Source organism: Homo sapiens, chromosome 11, assembly GCF_000001405.40.
Source record: "Homo sapiens chromosome 11, GRCh38.p14 Primary Assembly".
NCBI lineage: Eukaryota > Metazoa > Chordata > Mammalia > Primates > Hominidae > Homo > Homo sapiens.
The window spans coordinates 127,257,989-127,277,145 of NC_000011.10; the positions used below are offsets into that span (position 1 = coordinate 127,257,989).

Genomic DNA, 19,157 nt, shown 5'->3' on the forward strand with positions numbered 1-19,157 from the left:
AGGCGTGAGTCACTACACCTGGCCACTGATGACTCTTTTTAGAAACTCTGGCTGTGCCCAGGAGAGGGGCTCATCCAGGGAGTGGACTGATTATCAAGGAGGGTTGGGCTGGCTGGGGGATATACCACCAAGAAGAGTGATGGAAAGATGCCCACCTGAAAGGAGGATTGGATGTGAAAATGAAGACCGGGAACCAGAAACAGGTTGGCACCAAGGGTTGACCTGAGGTTGGGGTTGAATTTGGATGACAAGTCATGGTCAAAAATAAAAACATATATTTATTTGAGATTTAGAACCAAAAAATAAGTCTGATGAGAGAGCATGGTGATTGGGTGGAGGGTGATGGAAGGATGTGTTTGTTTGGCACCTAGTGATCCATTATTTAGCTGTAGCTGCCATTCGTTTGATGTAGTTTCCACCTCTTCTCTCTCCATGCTTTTTCCCCTCCTCTCAACCACCCTGCCTCTCACCATCTGCTCTTCCTTCACATTCTCTGTTCTCTCTTTCGAGAACATTCTAACCCCAACCTCATCACTTGGCTAATGATTGATTCTTCACTTCAGGCACTAGTCTAAATGTCACTTCCTGCAGGAAGCCTTCCCTGACCACTGTTTCCTCCTCAGTTTCGGCTCCATGCTTCCTCCATGTGCCCTCACAGCTGCTGTACTTACTTGTTCCAGCATCTATCACTCCTCTTTACAATTGCTTATTCACTGTTATTCTCCCCCATAGACTGGAAGGGCCAAGAGCAGGCACCATGTCTATATTGCTATTCCTGTGGTCCCCAATACCTAGCAAAGTAAATGCCCTCAGTAAACAGAAAATAAAATGTCATTTATTCATACGAGGCAGTTTTTCTCTCCTTTCCTGAAGAGGGAGTCAAACATGCTTTCTGAGAAGAAAGATCAAGGTTAGCACTGTAAATGATCATTCTATGGCCCAAATGAGTTAGTTTTGTCTCCTGGACAGTCCGTGGATGCTAGAACCTCTGTGTCCTAGCATCTTTCTCTCTGTCTCCATAGGCTATTTTCTTGCACAGAGTCCCTCAGTACAGTACTGGACCTACGGCAGGTACTCAATAAAAAAGCATTATCAGATTGCAACGGTTAGCTGTCAGAGAGGAGGGAGTATTTCTTCTTACAAGATAAAACAATTTGCTTCAAACTTGTCTGAGTGTTGGAGATCAGACAAGACTCTTTTTAAAAATGGGAAAATGGGACTGTACTAGGTCTTGCCCTCTTTCTTTGCCTACAGAAGATGAAGCAGGCATTTCATTCAGTTAGAGATGCTGTCTGTAGCAAATAACCCTTGGGATCTGAGAGGGATTATTTGGCCACTGGAGGGCTCTTACATTTTTCCAGGTAATGCAATTGAAACCGTATTCAGAATGACTGGATAATTAATGCCACATTGTACAAAGTGTACACCACTGTTCCCATCACAATTTTTTAAAAATGCATAATTTCAAGAAGACCAGACTTAATTTACTGTGTGTTTTGCTTTTTCAACAAAAACATGAGATGAATAATTTCCCCACGTCATTGCTTTAAATAGGGCATCTGTTAACATGGATTATTATGGATGTAATGCTAACATGATTAGGCTCGGACACTCACCCAAAAAACTAATTTTTTTAAAGGGATGACTCATGAAAAAAATGAGATCAAGATTAAGGAAGAAAAAATGCTAAGAATAAATTTGATAAGGGCTAGAAGTTATAAGTATTTCAGAGTCAGAGGATGGTACCATTTGTCCAACAATGTTTACCACCTGCTAGGTGTTGAGCACTGTGCTAGCTACTGGGTAAGCAAATGACAGTAATAATTAATAATAACCATAACAATAGTAATGATGACAGCCTAGTCCACTGAGGGCCAGGACTTGGTCTTGTTCACCACTAAACCCCGAACTTTAAATCGGAGCCTGGCATGTAGTAGATATGCAATAATATTAAATATATAAGCAGTGTTTACTGAACCCCTTATATATGCTTTGGTTATAAGAACTTGACATGTGTGCTATCATTGCTAATCTTCACAAAAATATTAAAAACTTAATAATAGTACTATCCTTATTTTACAAATGAAGAAACTGGGGCTAAGCGAAATTAATTAGTTTGCTTGAGGTCACTAGAGATGGAATTCATACCCAACTTTATCTGATATTAAGTCTGAGAAAAAAAAAATATGTGCTTCCAGGGATAGGGAGAGGTTGGTTAATGGATGCAAAATTACAGTTAGATGGGAGGAATGTGTTCTGGTGTTCTGCAGCACTGTAGGGTGACTACAGTTAACCATAGGTTATTACATAGTTTTAAATAGCTAGAAGAACAAATTCCGAATGTTCTCAACACAAAGAAATCATAAATGTTAGAGGTGATGTGTATGCTCATTACTCTGATTTGAGCATTGCAGTTTGTATACATGTATCGCAATAGCAATCTGTACCCCATAATATGTACAATTACTGTGTCAATTAGAAATCAACAAAAAAAGTTTTTAAAAATGTAAAAAAATTAAAAAATAAAATATGTGTGTCCAATAATTAAGCTACACTCTATGAAGACAATATTCTTGTGATCCGGGCATTCACAACTACTACCAGGAATCAATGTGCAAGCAAGTAGCCAAAATAAAAGTAATATAATTGGAGAAAGACACTTCTGCTGTATCACTTGTCTGCCTAGAGAATTCTGGACAGGCTTCATGTCAGAGTTAAAATCGGATTTGGTTGGTGAAGATGATATGAAGAAGAGCTGCAGCTCATCACCCAAAGACCCATTGCATGGGTGAGATGTAAACTTCGGTTGCCATGGACTTTCTGGAATCATTTGTTGCGACCTATCTTATTCTCACCGCTGCACCATGATGACTTTAAACTTCTTTCAAGTGGAATAAAGAGTAATTATATATACTTTTTACTTTTTTAAAGTAAAATAGGTATGTATATATATACATATTGAAAAGTGCACATATAAGAAAGTGTACAGCTCAATGAATTTTCATAAACTTAATATACTCACTCACATAGAATAAAAACCAGAATTTGAATCTGCATCTCAGTAGCCCCTCTTGTGTCCTTATATTTGTTGGGAATGCTATAAAAGTTATCAAAACTGGGTGGCTTAAAACAAAAGAAGTTTATTCTCTCCCAGTTCTGGAGGGCAGAAGGGTAAAACAAAGTTGCTATCAAGGTTGGTTCTTTCTGGAGGCACTGAGGGAGGATCTGTTCTGTGCCTCTCTCCTGGCTTCCTGTGATTTTCAGTAATTCTTGGCATTGCTTGACTTGTGGATGCGCCACTCCAGTCTTTGCCTCCATCTTCACATGGTCTTCCTTCTGCATGGCTCAGATCGCCCTCTCCTTTCTCTTCTAAGGAGACCAGTCATTAGATTTAGGGCCCACCCTAAATCCAGAATGATCTCGTCTTTAGATCCTTAACTTAATTGCATGCTTAGAAACCATATTTCCTAATAATCTCAAATTCACAAATATTGAGAAATGTAACTCACCACAGACCCCTTCTAATTACCACCTTCTGCAAGGGTAATGCTGCCCCATTTCACCTGTTTCTCTACTTCATACAAATGGAATTATACAGTTTGTAATATTTTGCATTTGTCTTTTCTCTCTTCAAAATTATTATTTGTGAGATTCATTTAGATTGTTGCATATAGCTCTAGAAAATTTATTGTCATTGCTGTATAGTATTGTGTGAGTATAACACAATTTATCCCTAATGTATCCATTACACAGTTACGGGCATTTAGGAAGTTTTCAGTTTGGTGCTACTACAAATAGTGCTGTTCTGAAGAGCTCTGTACGTTTTTTAGGTGAGCTTGTGAGAGGATTTATGTTGGGTATATATTCAAAGAGAAATTGTAAGGTCAGAGGGTATTCATATGATCGGCTTTGGGGGAACTGCCAAACAGTGCTCCAATGTGATTATATAAGACACTGGAAGGTTTTAAACAGAGGAGCAGAGTGATCTGACTTATGTATTTAAAAGATCACTGGCTGCAGAGATACAATGGCACAGAGGTTTAGCTTCAACATAACATTCACAAAGGAAAGTAGTAGCATACAAATCTAAAGGAAAGCTGGGGTCAGAGTGTGAAGGGTTTTCTAACTCAGCCTAGAAGTGTGGGCTCCTTTTGTTAGGAAAAAAAAGATGGTGTTTAAAAGTATAAGAATGATGTTATTCATATCCATATAAGATGGATGGGAGCCAGTTAGAATAAATTACACCTTGAGGGAGATGTTGAGTACATGATCCCAGGAGTGTGGTAAGAGGGATGCAGAGAAAGAAGATGGGAAAACGTGGGGGAGTAGAGCCAACAGATCCTGGAAGTTCCCCAAGTGTGGTGTGTAGGACAAAAGGAGCAGTCAGTGGTGACTTTCAGGTCTACCACCTCTTTGGGTTTTTTTCTTTTTTTGAGACAGGGTCTTGTTCTGTGGCCCAGGCTGGAGTGCAGTGGCACAGTCATGGCTTACTCCAGCCTCGACCTCTTGGGCTCAAACTATCTTCTCACCTCAGCCTCCCAAGTAGCTGGGACTACAGGCGTGTGCTGCTGCACCTGGCTAATTTTTATTTTATTTATTTTTTGTAGAGATGGGACTCAGTATGTTGCCCAGGCTGGTCTTGAACTACGAGACTGAAGTGATCCTCCTGCCTTGGCCTCCCAAAGTGCTGGGATTACAGTCATAAGCCACCACACCTAGCTACAACCTCTTCAGAACATTTATCCGGGATAGTGAAATCGAAAGAGGACTCAACTTGTCGTTCTTATGCCAACGTGCTGAGTGTGGCATGGTTGAGGTTTGAACGTGTGCTGTTGTGGCCATATTTACCAAACAGTTTCCCTCTGGGGCAATAAGGAGCTTTGTGCCACCAACATGTCCATCTGATGGCATTGCATAGAGAGCCCTAAGGCTATGTGGAAACGTACTGTCACCTCTGTATTCCTAAATATCAGGAAGGAGATAAAAATTAATATAGATTCATTTGACTAACATTTACTAAGAACCCACCGTAAAACACAATATCTCAGCAAAGTGTTAATTTGCTGAGATTTTGTTAATTCCCTTAACAAAAACATGTTAACAGAATCTAGAAGGTTCAGAGAAGGAAGCACTTGATCTTCCTGTGGGTGTCAGGGAGGGTGATAGTGGAGAACAGCTCAAATGGGTTTTGATAGATGAGTAGGAGTTCTTAGAAGGAGAAAGGGCTGGAAGACTGAGGCTAGAGAGTGGCTCTGGGCAAAGGGCAGAAGGAGGGAGATCATTCCCAGCATAGGAAACAGCATGTGTAGATATTACAGAATGAAAAATAATAGCTGAAAAGTGTGGTGCTCTTACTGTGTGCCAAGCCCTGCGCTAATTCATTCTAGAGTTACTCATTGAATCTTCTCCACAACCTATCAAAGCAGGTATACTTATATTTTCTTTTTAGAGATGAAAAAGTGGAGGCCTAAAAAGGTCAAGCTACTCAACCCAAGGACACACAGCTCCTGGAAGACTGAGCAAGATTCTGACCCTAGGGCTGAGGCCTCCAGCCACTGTGAGCTCCCCTGCCCTGAGAAGGTGGGTAGAATTAGCATGGACACTAATGCAGGCAGCTTGCAGCTTGCTCACAATGAAATCAGGGCAGGTAAATGCTTCATCCTTAGCCATGATGGCTGCAGCAGATTGTTTTCCAAAATCCTCTTATAGCCCATGCCCAGAGAAATAGAAATGCCACTTTAAGACTTTAAAAAATGCTGGTGACATTTACCTATGTTGATACATCAGAATAAAAATAGCCCCTCGTGACCTCCTCATTTAACCCCTTCTCTTTAACTCAACATCTCTCACTTTTGCCTCTGCTTCATTTTCCCCCCTTTGAAGATGCGTCAGGTCTCAAGTTCAGCTTAATTCAACTGCTAGATGTATTATTCATTTCTACGCTTTAATGATGTGATAAGGTTTCTGGAAATAGGAAAAGGCTCATTAAACTGTCATTTGAATATAGATCACACCTAAATTCTAAGGAAGACAAAGTCTGCCAGCCAGGGATGCATTTTCTTTCCCAACACAGCTCTCTATAAACTGAGAAGGCAGAAAGAAGCATTTCAAAGAAGAGATCCCCCAGATTAATATGTATTCTTGGTTTACTCTGTAATTAATGATAACTCACAAACAGAATGAAGGATTCAGAGAGACAGAGAATGAATACTGGCCAAATGAAGAAGGGATCTGGGATGTCAAACACGGTGAGGTGTGTGTTTTGTTCCTCTCTGTGATCACTGGTTTGATCAGGCAGGCTCTGTTTGAGGTAGAGGAGTATGTAGGGATTTTAATTTGACTCGCATGGTTTAGAACAGAACATCATCTCTGCCTGCAGAAATTGATTTGAAAATACAACATCTTGCTTGCAGATTTCCTTCTCTGTTTGCCTTCAGGTTTGAGAAGAAGCTAGAAAATGCAGAAGTGCAAGGGAGGGATTCAGGGCCAGATGCTGGAGAATCTGGCAATATGCCCACCTATTTCTCCAATTCTCAATCCCTAGATGAATGACCTGAACATACTAAGAGTTAGCCTCTTAGTACATTGCAATATTAACATGTTGCATGTGTAGACCAGGGTCTAGTACATGTAAGTTTTGTTTGTTTGTTTGTTTTGTTTTGTTTTTTGAGATGGAGTCTCGCTCTGTTGCCCAGGCTGGAGTGCAGTGGCGTGATCTCTGCTCACTGCAAGCTCCACCTCCCAGGTGCACACCATTCTCCTGCCTCAGCCTCCCAAGTAGCTGGGACTACAGGCACCCACCACCACGTCCAGCTAATTTTTTTGTATTTTTTTTTCCGTAGAGACGGGGGTTTCACCATGTTAGCCAGGATGGTCTCGAACTCCTAACCTCGTGATCCGCCAGCCTCAACCTCCCAAAGTGCTGGGATTACAGGAGTGAGCCACTGCACCTGGCCTGGTATGTGTAAGTTTTTAACACATGTGTAGACCCTGGTCTATGCAAGCAACATATATTTTCTCATTTATTTCTTACCACAACCTTTTGAGATAAGTCAGAGTTGCCCTTAGATTCCAACAACAGAGGACCCCACCTGCACTCTCCACTCCAGCTGGCCTGTGTGCCTGCCTCCAGCTGTGTCCTTTTCCAAGGGTATGAAGGGGATGAAGCTGCTTCATGGGGCCAAGAGGACATACCCACCAGGTGCCTGGCACCCTGGAGTTCCATTTTCTAACATCCCCAAGCCCAGTCCAGGTTCTGAGCAGTCCTCTTACCTGGGTTCATCCTGATGGTTGACTGTGTCCATAGCATGATCTTAGGTCCTTAGGCCAAGGGCTGGCCATCTGTGTGGCTTATGGACAGAAAGTTTCATATGGGCTGGACTGTCAGCAACTGGCTTGCATGACTTGTGATATGGGATGGAGCTGGGGTGGGGAGAAAAGGGTAGGACAGTGAGCTATGGGCAAAAGCCTGGGGTGCTTTCCCTACCCCATCATATTTCGAGAGGAACTCCATGGGGTGCAAGAATGCTGAACTCAAACCTTATGCTTCCAGGTCATTTTTAATGTGTATTTGTCAAGGTGGAAGATAGAGCATGTTTTATTTAGTGCTTTGTTGGCTTGATTTCTACTTTTGAGTGTTTTGACATGTGATGCATGGGCTGCCATTTGTACTCGTTCTCTAGGCCCTAAAAATATTGAGGGTGGACCTGATGTAGAGATATCAATACCTATATTTTACATATGGGAAAATAGGGAGTTCGATCAGTTGCTAGTAAGTGCTGAAGTCAGAATTCAAATTCAGACAGTCATATTCCAGGGTCTACACTATCCATCAGTTTCTGGTACTTCCTCCTATGGGAGACACCGTGGGGAGGTGTCCATTCAAGTCAGCTAATATCATGGTGGGATTAGAGCAATTAGACAGACACGGACCAGCTTTGGTGAGGAACCTTTCCCTCCTGTTATGTTCTTAGGAGAAGTGTAATGGAGCCTCATAGCCTCTGATAGGATGAGTGGACTGTGTCTGTGAGTGGAAGCTGGGGAGAGAAACCAGAGGCACTGGGAATAAGAAACCCTGTTTGAAACACCTTATCAGTAACCTTGTCAAATGTGTTTAATTTGAGTTTAATCAGGAGGAAATAGATCAAACAAATCAGACAACTCTAAAGTGGAGGATGTGATAGGCGGATTCCTAAAACAGACCCCAAGATTCCTGCTTCCTCCTGCCCTGTGCAGTCCCGTTCCCTTGAGTGTGGGCAGACCCAGTGAAGACTGGGATGGATCGTCAGTCCCTTGAGTATGTTATATAATTGGCAAAAGTGAAAGCGTTTTCCAAGTGTAATTAAAGCCTCTAAACAGTTGACTTTAAGATAATCAGTTGGAAAAATCTCTGGGGTGATCTGACTCATTCAGTAGGAGGTCTTAAATAAGGGTTTAGCCCTTTCCTTGGGGGTGAAGCAGCAGCAGGACTGTCTCTTTTTGACCTTGAAGAAGCAAACTGCTGTGTCATGGAAAGGACCACGTGGCAGGGAACAATGGGTGGCCTTTAGAAGCTGACAATCTCAGAGCTACAGCTGCAGGGAGCTGAACACTTCTAACAATGAGTGAGCTTGGGTGAAGACCCTTACTTGGCCTTAGATGAGAAGGTGGCCCCAGCTAACACCTCAATTTCAGTCTAGTGAAGCCCTAAGCAGAGGACCCAGACCCACAATTCCAACCGGTGGAAACTGCCTGTGGTGACACATTTGTGTTTTATTTATTTATTTATTTATTTATTTATTTATTTATTTTGAGATGGAGTTTCGCTCTTGTTGCCTAGGATGGAGTGCAACGCCACAATCTTGGCTCACTGCAACCTCTGCCTCCCAGGTTCAAGCGATTCTCCTGCTTCAACCTCCCAAGTAACTGGGATTATAGGCACCCGCCACCATGCCCGGCTAATTTTTTTTTTTTTTTTTTTTTTTCAGTAGAGACGGGGTTTCACCAGGCTGGTCTTGAACTTCGCCAGGCTGGTCTTGAACTCCTGACCTCAGGTGATCTGCCCGCCTCGGCCTCCCAAAGTGTTGGGATTACAGGCATGAGCCACCATGCCCAGCCGACATTTGTGTTATTTTAAGCTGCTAAATTTAGGGTAATTTCTTTTGCAATAATAGGAAACTAATACAAGAGACATTCTTCTATAAAACAACTGGTTGGGACTCTTCAAAAAATCATTATCGTAAAAAACAACAAACATAAAGGTAGGAAGACGATTTTAGTTTAAGGGTGTTTAAAAAGCAAACAAATAGCAACAAAGAACAACAACACCACAACCCCTCTGGGCTGGCAATGGTCTATGAAGTTTTCTCAGACTGAGTTTTGGAAACTTAACATTTGTTTTCCTTCCTTTTGTGTTGAGATCTTGCAGAGATCTCTGCCCTGTGTTTTGAGCTGAGTAGGCACCATGGCTTTGGCCCTGTACAGTGTCTCACTGTGGATAGGGATAGTTACATAAAAATAATCGCACTGTCTCTTAGCTCTAGAGAAATGCCCTCTATCTCCTGGCAGTGGCTGGAGGGCCAGGACTTAATGGATGTTGTGGGTCGTAAAAATGAACGTTAATGGCCCGCACCCAGCCTCCTCTCCCACAGCTCTGAAGCTTTGGGGGTGGCAGCATGAACAGCTTTGACAAATTTGTAGTATTAGAACAACACATTTGGACAAGGACGATACTATTGCAAGGAGGAATTTGTGCTCAGTAGGCCCTAGATGAAGTTTGTCTGGAGACTCTAGCTTGTCATTCCCTGACATATACAAACCTACTCCCTGCCTAGCCTACTGGGTCTTTGAATGAAAGAAAAAATACCTGAAAATTGAATTCATATTAAGACATGAGTGATCCCGATACAGGATTTTGGCATTTAAAAAAGACAGCTGGGTGAGTCCAATGCTTAACCCACATGAAAATATTTCTAAGGGCAGAATTTTAGTCTTTGTAGCACCTCGATATTGGAAGTCAATTTTAAGATCCCTAGAGAGATCTAATTATTGTATTTACAGGGATGGTCTATTAGATGAATTGCCAAACACTCACTCATGTGTGTGTGCACACATACATACACTCAAAACACACACACACACACGCACACACACACATACACACACAGAAAACACCAGAAGGGCTGTGTGGCAAACACATTAATTGGGACAGTGAGATATCCAAATAGACCACAGTGGTAGAGATGCATTTAGAAGGGTAGCTGGAGTCAAGGTGAAAAAGAAAGGAGTGAGCAGGAGGAATTTAGGGTGGAAAGGTTCAGGATGCCAAGTAGCCAGGCTCAAAGCTGGTGTCCTAATCAAGGCTATAGCTGGCAGGTGCTGAAATCGAAATAGCAGGGGGGAAGAACAATGAGAGAGCGATTCCCCCTCCCATTACTGCCAGACAGGATGGTGGGTCCTGATAGGCCACGCTGTTGTGCTGGTAGAGGGAGAGGAAAGGGATGAGGACTGTTCCAGATGATGATGAAGAAGATGATAACAGTGGTGGCATAGATCACATTGAATAAGCACTTAATATGCACCATGCCCCGTAAGAGGTATTGTTTTGGGTAAACTCACAACAACAGCTCTGTAACATAAACACTATGAACGCTTCCAATTTCCAGGCGAGAAACAAGTTCCAAGCGGTGAAGCAATTTGTTCAAGATCCTATATAGCTCACCAGTGACAGCACCAGGGCCTGAGCCCAGGCTGTTGAGCCAAGAGCCAGAGCTGAAAAAATGGAGAGATCCCCCTGGCTGTGAGATTCCAAATGTGGCAGGTCTTCAGGGTTTCCTTCTGATTTGTAGTCCTGCAGCCCACACCACAGGGGCTGTGGTGAATAGACGGAAAATACCGAGCCTCCTAATTGATGTGAAGCCTTTTGAAAATGTCTCCGTGTCCCTCCAAAATGAGGAGTGCCTACTCCTCATGCTGCTTCAGAACTTCTTTATCTTTTAACCATTTTTCCCTTCAAATTTAACTCTGCTGACTTCTGCACTGAGGATTACCTAAAGGCCAAGTTTGACATTCTTAATCCAGCCATTTCAGAGTTATCTGAGAACAGAAAAGGTACAGGGATAAAGGCTTGAAGTGTTAACTCTGGGAGTGCCAGAGGGAGTTGAGATGGGCAGTGTCCTTCCCTGAGTATCCTGCAGGGCTCAGACCTGTAGGATGCCCCCATGAGCTTGGCTATATTAAAGATCCTTTTAGATCCCTGAGCCCCTTGTTTGGTTGGCCTGTTTTTAAAGCTGCCTACAGATAAACTACATAGCCACTGAAACTGCTGGGAAGATATCATTTCCCCAAAAGAGCTTAGCTGGAGAGACAGGACCCATAAGAAGGTATTGACTTGATGGAACCCAAGCTGTCAAAGGAAATCAACAGGAGTTTATTTTGCAAGTGCCTACTATGAGACCAGTGAAGTAAGTACTGGGCCAGGAAGAAGACCCAATATTCTATGGAAATCATCCAAACCAGAAGGAATTTTTATATCAGTTCAGCTGCTATTATTGAGCACCTACAATGCACCAGACATGAAGCTCTGTGCTGACTGGTAAATCCACAATGAACAAAACAGACGTTGTTTCTTGTCGTCATAGAATTAATATTTCAGACTATTTATATGAAATTATGCCACATTTTCTTTTCAATTTTATTCTGAATAGCAATAGAAAATAACAGGGAAGCACAGCAGAAATGCATTCTTCACTTAGATTAAAAGATCCTACGAGATTCTCACACATTATTCATAGGCATGATTGGGACACTGGCAGTGGAGCATTGCGATCAAACACACACACACACACACACACATACACACACACACACACACACACACACCCCTTACCTCATGCATGCTCTTTGTTTAGAATTAGAGGAAAGAATAGTTTGCAGTTTCTAGAATTTTAATAAAGAGAAATTAGAGGGCAAACTCCTCCCTATTGAGGATCTTACAATCAGTTTGAAAAGGCTCTCACATGTGAGACACCTAGAGAACAATTCAAAACAATATATAGTCAAGTTATCCTATTACTCAGTCCACTTGCATCAGATTTAAACATAAATTCTGCCTCCTTAAGGGAGCAGACTGCTTCTAAGAACTTGGCATTAATCACTGGGATGCAGATGGGTACAAATAGATGCTGCCAACTATAAATGAGTCTTATCCATTCAATACCTTAGGTCTCATCAGGAATATGTTATATGTCCTGAAAGTCATAAAAGTGCATTGTAAAAAGATTACAATACTTTCACATTTGATTTTAAAATTTATCTGCATTGCCTGAGTTCACTCAACTATCCGAAAGCCTACTATGTCTAAGGCACAATCGTGGTCCCTGGGGATAACACAGTGAACAATACAGTTCCACATGGCACCTGTCCTCAGGAAGCTTACATTTTAATGTATGATCTAAGAACAGGTTAAAAAACACACATTAATAATTGCAATCTGTGAGAAGTCTATGAAAAATAGACAATTGTGGAAGGGATCTGCTTTCGATAGGGTAGTTAGGGAAAGCTTAGGGATGCATAAGGGTTAGCAACATTGCAGCCAGGCTAGAGAGCGAGAGAGAAAGGCCAATTGGATACAGGTAATGACTGTGAAGATGGACCACGTGGGAAACAGATTCAAGGGGTATTAAGAATTTACTGTTTCAATGGTTGATGGGGAAGAAAGACAAGAGGAATCAAAGATAACTGTTTTGTTTTTCGTTTTTGTTTTTTTAACTAGAGTAAATGAGTAGATGGGATGCGTTTTGTTACATGAGGGAAGAAGAAGATAAATAAAGGAAAAATGTATTTGCCCATATGATGTTCAGAGGATGAGGGGCTTTATATGTGATGGTTTCTGTTTTTTTAATATAAGATGAACTGCCTGATCAAAATTTTTGTTGCAAAATTTTAAAAACCAATGTCTTCTTCTCCAGCTGTCTCCAAACCCCAGATTTTGTTTGGCTTATAGTTCTCACTGAGTAGCCACTTTTTCAATTTGCTCTTCTTGGCATTTTAACTTCCCCTTCCCCTCTTAGCACGTCTGCCATCTCTTCCTGCTCTGGGTGTCACTTAGCTCTGAAAACATAGGCATCGGAGTGTAGCAGACTGACTCAGAGTCCTCCCAAGATGCAGATTCTACTGAAATCCAAACCCAAGGGGTCTACAAAATGGGTATGTTCAAATTTTTTTTTTGTTTTCATTACTGACTGTCTCCTATTTTAAGGCACCCAGATGGCTTGGGGGGAATGTAAATCAGTGCTTTCTTCCATTGCCAGTTTAATGACCTTGTGATGTTAATTGCCTCTTTCTCCATAATATCAACTCTTCTCCCCATATCTCTCAGACAAATTACCTAACCCTTCAAACACAATCCAAGAGGACTTCCCCATCCACCTAGGCAGAATGCAACTATATCATACTAGAGTTTTTATGTGTGTGAGTATATATATAATAAGGTAAAGCGGGAACTAATATTCTAAAAAGAAATATAATTCTATTATATATTCTATTATATAATTCTATTATTAAATATATTCTATTATTATAGAATTATACACTATAATTTCTGTATCTGTAATTATAGAACTGTAATTTCTTACCATTAATCGCAAAATGGGAGGCTCATCAGGTAGAAGGAGGGAAGGACTCCAGTTTCAGCAGTTTGTGCTTAGAGTAGAAACATAAAGGAGAATGACATGGTGATAAAACCCAGCTTAGGAGAAATAAGACTTACTAGTCAGCTTCATTCAGCAACTCATATCTCGAATGTTCACTAAACACTTATTATGAGCTCTATGGTCCTACTTTATGTTCTTGGCATTGGAAATTTTTTAAATGAATACGAATTGATTATAATAGAAGATCAAGTAGAGCTCAACTCAAAGTGTCATGGGAACTTGGATGCACGAGAGACAGCTGTACAGCTGTCAGGGGACGTGTGGAGGTGTGGGGAGTGCAGACAGTGGTTAGAGAAGGTATTTATAGAAGAGGTGATGTTTAAGCAATACTCAGTAATATTAGTGGCCATGGCATAGGGCATATAGGTGAGAAAGAGGATGGAGCCTGAAAAGAAATAAGAGATGAGGCAGAAGAAACATGCTGGAGTGATTCATCTACCTGGAGAGGTGCTCTGCTCTGCATTTCATAAATAACTTCTATAAAAGACCTCGTAAACCTATGTTTACAACTGTTTGACCACTCTAGATATTATATCTCTATGCAGCTCACTCTTTAGTCTTTATTTGCTTGGATATTCTCTTTCAAAAAGATGTTCCATAATGTTTAATCGAACTTATGATCACAATTTCAGACGAAAAGCAGTTCCTTCTGCCAAGGCTGATACCTGACCCTGGCACTCTCCTAATCAATCAGCACTGTGTATTTTGCATATGCCAACACATGGGATATTCATGAAATGTATCAATTCATTATTGCATTGCTATAAAGAAGTACCTGAAGCTGGGTAATTTGTAAAGAAAATAGGTTTCATTGGCTCACAGTTCTGCAGGCCATACAGGAAGCATAGTGGCTAGCCAACTATATCAAATAAGGTAAAAGGAGAAGTAATATTATAAAAAGAAATATAATTATATACTATAATTTCTATAACTGTAATTATAGAATTGTAGTTTCCTACCATTAACTGCAAAATATGAGACCCATCAAGTAGAAGGATGTAAGCACTTCAGTTTCAGCAGGGAGGCCTCAGGAAACTTACAGTCATGGCGGAAGGCAAAGGGGAAGCAGGCTTGTCTTCCGTGGCCAGAGCAAGAGGAAGAGAGATGGGGGAGGCGTCACACAATTTTAAACAACCAGATCTCGTGAGAACTCTGTCATGAGAATAGCACCAAAAGAATGGTGCAAAACCATCAGGAACTGCCCCCATGATCCAATCACCTCCCACCAGGCCCCACCTCTAGCATTCAGAGTTGCATTTCAATATGGGATTTGGGTGGGTACACAGATCCAAACCATATCATGAGGTGTGGTGGTGATGGAGAATTGGAGTTAAGAGAGAGGGATAGCATAATCCAGAATAAAGAAACAGAAATCTTTCTTAGTCCTCAAATTCCTTAAAATCTCATTAATGGAGAAAACATGCTAACTTGAAGTGACTGAAGAGCACTTAAAAAATAACCATCAGGCAGCTGCGTGTTCTTACCATCCCAAATGAGTGTGAAGTGGAAGAATGAAATTACTGGCTGCATCTGCATAGGTACCTTAGGAAGTCTTGCTGAGCTGGCATTTGATGCATTCCATGTTTCTGTGGGGGTGCAAGGAAGGAGCAAGGCGGTCCAGGCACGGAGAGGAAGAGGAGGTGCCCAACGGAAGGACCAATGCCTAGTGAAAACACTGGGGAAGCACACTAGACTCGAGAAGTCCTTGGATGCTGAGTGCCTGGCATGGCTGAGAAACTGGTGCCCATTTGTTTTCCTGACTCAGAATCAACATTCATAGAAAGATTAAATTTTTTTAAAAAAGGACTTAGTTTCTTTGGCAAACCAATAATAGGCTTTGGGATTTTGCTTTAAACATTTTGAATAATCCTATTAGCAGCTTAGAAAAACAGGGCTATTTTAATGACAGAGTATATATATCTATATATTTCCCATCCACCAGTGTCTGAAGGAGATTATCCACACTAGCTGAAGTCTACCCTCTTTGCAGGGTTTAGCCCTATCACCAGGTCTGGAGAGGCAGGAGGGGAAAAGAGCTGCTCAGTTACTCTTCCAGCACCGAGTGTGCTGGATAATTGCATCTTTTGCCCACTTGCCAATGGCATTTAGACTAGTTCTCATCCATGTCAAGTCAGTCCAAGCCCAGGAGGGGCAGCATGGTGCATAAACCATGTTGATATCTCGTTTCTGGCCCTGACATTTCACTCACAAAGTGGAAATAGCAATAATATTAAAGACATGAGGTTGTCTCAAAAATTAAACAAAACTATGTGAGTTGAAGCACCAGGTTAGGGGAGTAGACCACTGGTTCTGGTGGTTATTCATGTTAGTCTAATATCTCTGACATTTGAAGACCTATTTTGCGGTTATGTTTTTCAAATCAGCTTCTTTGACTTGGAGCAGGTAGGGTTTATTTTCTGGTTTACCTGCTGGGAGGTAGAGAGTGTAAAAGCAGACTTGCTCTTGTGTTATCTTCCAGCGTGAGGATCTAACCAGTGAGGATCATGTTTCAGCAACATCATGTTGGTATGAGAATATACATAATTTTTTAATGAGTGTGAGTTGTATGACTTTTTAAGACAGAATATTGCTACGTGATTGGATTTTCTTAGCAATCATTTTTATGCCACCTAACCACTTTTTTTTTTTTTTTTACCTCAACTTCAAGAATTGCCTGAACTGTGGACAAGAGAAACATAGATACTTACATGAGAAATAGGCTTGGATTTCTTCCAATGCCTTCCTATCTCTTTGATGTTGTTACTTGCAGGTATCAGACTTGCATTCTGCCAGGAACATTTCTTCTGTATGTTGTAATGACTCATGCCCCCAGGATAATGAACAAGACTTGGCAAATACTGGGCCCTGATACCTGAGCCAACAGAGAACATCCGCATCAGGGAAGTCAATAGTCAGAAGGCCTGACTAGGAATGCCATTTAGAATTTGCAGACAAAAAAGTCTTTAGCTACCAAAATCTCTTTTGATTCTGTCAAAGGGCAGATCTAGTCTGTTTCTTAGATGTATTTTCCTTTACTGATCATTTACGTTTTCCATTATGAATCTTTATTTCAATTGATAAGAGAAGTAAGAAAAATTTTGAGAGATAATTCAACATCAAGGAAATCTATGGAGAGGCATGTATAGACACTTTCTTTATTCTTATAAAAAGGGCGATACTGTGAAAATAAAGCTATAACTTCACTTTCATATAATAATCAGGTGAGGTAAGTTTATTTTGGGCAAGGGTAGAGGAAGAGAAGGGGCGATGCAAATAGAGGCATACACAGAGTAGATGTTGCTTATGTGTTGGTCAAATCAATAAAGAGTGGGAGGAAACAAGGAAGAGGTCTGTAGAGGGAGGGGAAGAGAGTGAAAGTCATGCAGAAGGGAGAGAATGAGAGAAGCATGGAGTCAATAAAGGAGATGGAGGAAGATGCACAGAGACGGTAGATGCATCTGGGGAAAGCTGCTGGGAGTCACAGCTTCTCCCCTTGTAGTTTCAGGGGGCTGTTGCCTGTTGAAATGTTAACCGATGAACTTTTTAAAAATACTCTTTCAAATGTTAATCTTTATATCAACTCCCCTGTAAATTGCATAACCATAGCAACCCAACACAGGGTAAATTGTTCCTGGTGGGTAGCAGCCCATGATGGCAGCTAGAGGGTCAAGGAAATCCATGGAAAAGTCAGATGCCCCTGGGGCAGAGATCCCGAGCCCAGGCTGAGAAAATTACCTTTATATCTTAGAGGCAACTGGAGTCTAAGTCATTGATCTGGCCAGAGAGTGGCCTTCCAGGCTGGGGGTCATGGGATTGGGTACAGAGCAGGACCACACCAAGAAGGGCCTCTCTGCTCCTGCACATTCCACATCTGGTCAGCCTCAAGGTTTAGCTGCACTCCAAAGCACAGGGCAATGTAACAGAGGACTAAGCAAGAGCATTCGTTATTTCCTCCCAGGCAGAAAACAAACAGCAACAAGAACAACAGAAGATTCAACACAGGAGCAGCCTACAAAATGCAGGCTGTAACCTTGATGGTATTGATTGAGTGCACCTGTCCATCTTCATGTTAAACTGTGAGCTTGATTGCTGGCAAGTTTATAGGATTATGGGTTTACTTGGATGCCTGTGTTTTACTAGATGTAAGTGAAATTTATGGCTGTGGGGTTTGTGGTGCCAAGGTTTACCTCAGTCATTTCCTCCCAGCCGAGAGAGGGCCGAGACTCCTGGAGACAATTGGAGCGAGCTCAGGGGCTTGCATGCAAGGGAGGCACCTCTGGGCCTGCTTGCGGGCTGGGGTTACATGAGGAGCAGACAGACCAGGTGACAGGAGCCAGAAGCTCCCGCTGCATCACGGACCTCCCTCGCTCTATGACCTCACTGAATGCTAAAAGGAATGAGTAACGGGCATCCTGGAGAAATTATTGATATTTAGTTAGATCCCCAAGTGCTGGGAATGCACAGAGACTGGCTCACTCGGATGGCTGCCTTGCTTTTTTCTGCACACTGCTGCCATGAAGAGTTTAGGAAGGGCTCTTATGAGAGGCCGAAGGTTTTGGGAAGATGGAGAGGTGTCATTGAAATGATTAAATCCTTTGAACCTAGGCGTTCAGGGTACTTATCATCTGGTATTTAATAATGCGTGATATAGATTTAAATTATTGTTTCATATTTTGAAGGGTGATTGCTCTTAATAACTCATCTGACCTCACAGCAGCTATTTATTCACTGAGCACATTGTTTGCTGATTACCTAACATGTGCCATTCCTGGGGATTTTAGGTGAGAGTAGGGAAAATTCTTCTAATTGTTTTTTTAATTTTACAGATAAGAAAACTGAAGCCCAGAAAATTTATTTCCTTCACCTGGTCACACACAGATCTCCTGGTATATTCAGAACTAGAACTCAGATACTTGATTCCCATTCAGAAAGAACCTGGTCAGCTGGTTCGGGGTTAAAGAGGACAGAGAACACCAGTGAAAAAACCTCCACTGAGTAAGGGAGCTACCTTGTACTTCTATTTGGCTGCTCAGAACATTCAGATGCTCATTTTCTGGTTTTATTGGTTTTGGACAGTTGTACTCATCAAATTAAGTGACCTTCAGAAAAGTGAGAGATTATAAATCACATGGTTAGTTTCTTCCAACCAAAGATAATAGAACACTGGCTGATGAGACTCAGTCCAAATTCTCTGTTATAGAAATGCATTGCTTGCTTATGCAGTTGGCTTGGGATGAGGCCAACTCTGGGTGGGGCCCAGATTAAAGTAGCAAAGATACTATTATAAAACAATTTGACATGGCAAAAACAGTAAACATTTAAACTATTACTTACATGCCAGGTACTGTGGGCAGCACTTTGCTTGCACTATTTCATTTAATTCTTAAAAGCACCCATTTTATAGATGAGAAAATTGAGGCTTAGAGAGATTATGTAATTTTCCCAGGACATACAACTTCCAAATGG

At 41.6% G+C, this 19,157-nt stretch overlaps 1 long non-coding RNA gene across 1 annotated transcript in view; it reads left to right on the plus strand.

The window, feature by feature from the left end:
* The first annotated feature begins 13,081 nt into the window (after positions 1–13,081).
* LINC02712 (long intergenic non-protein coding RNA 2712) overlaps positions 13,082–19,157 on the plus strand; it is a 65,964-nt gene continuing 59,888 nt past the window's right edge. Inside the window, exon 1 of the long non-coding RNA NR_120580.1 lies at positions 13,082–13,185. This is a non-coding gene — a long non-coding RNA (long intergenic non-protein coding RNA 2712). The remainder of the gene's footprint in view (positions 13,186–19,157) is intronic.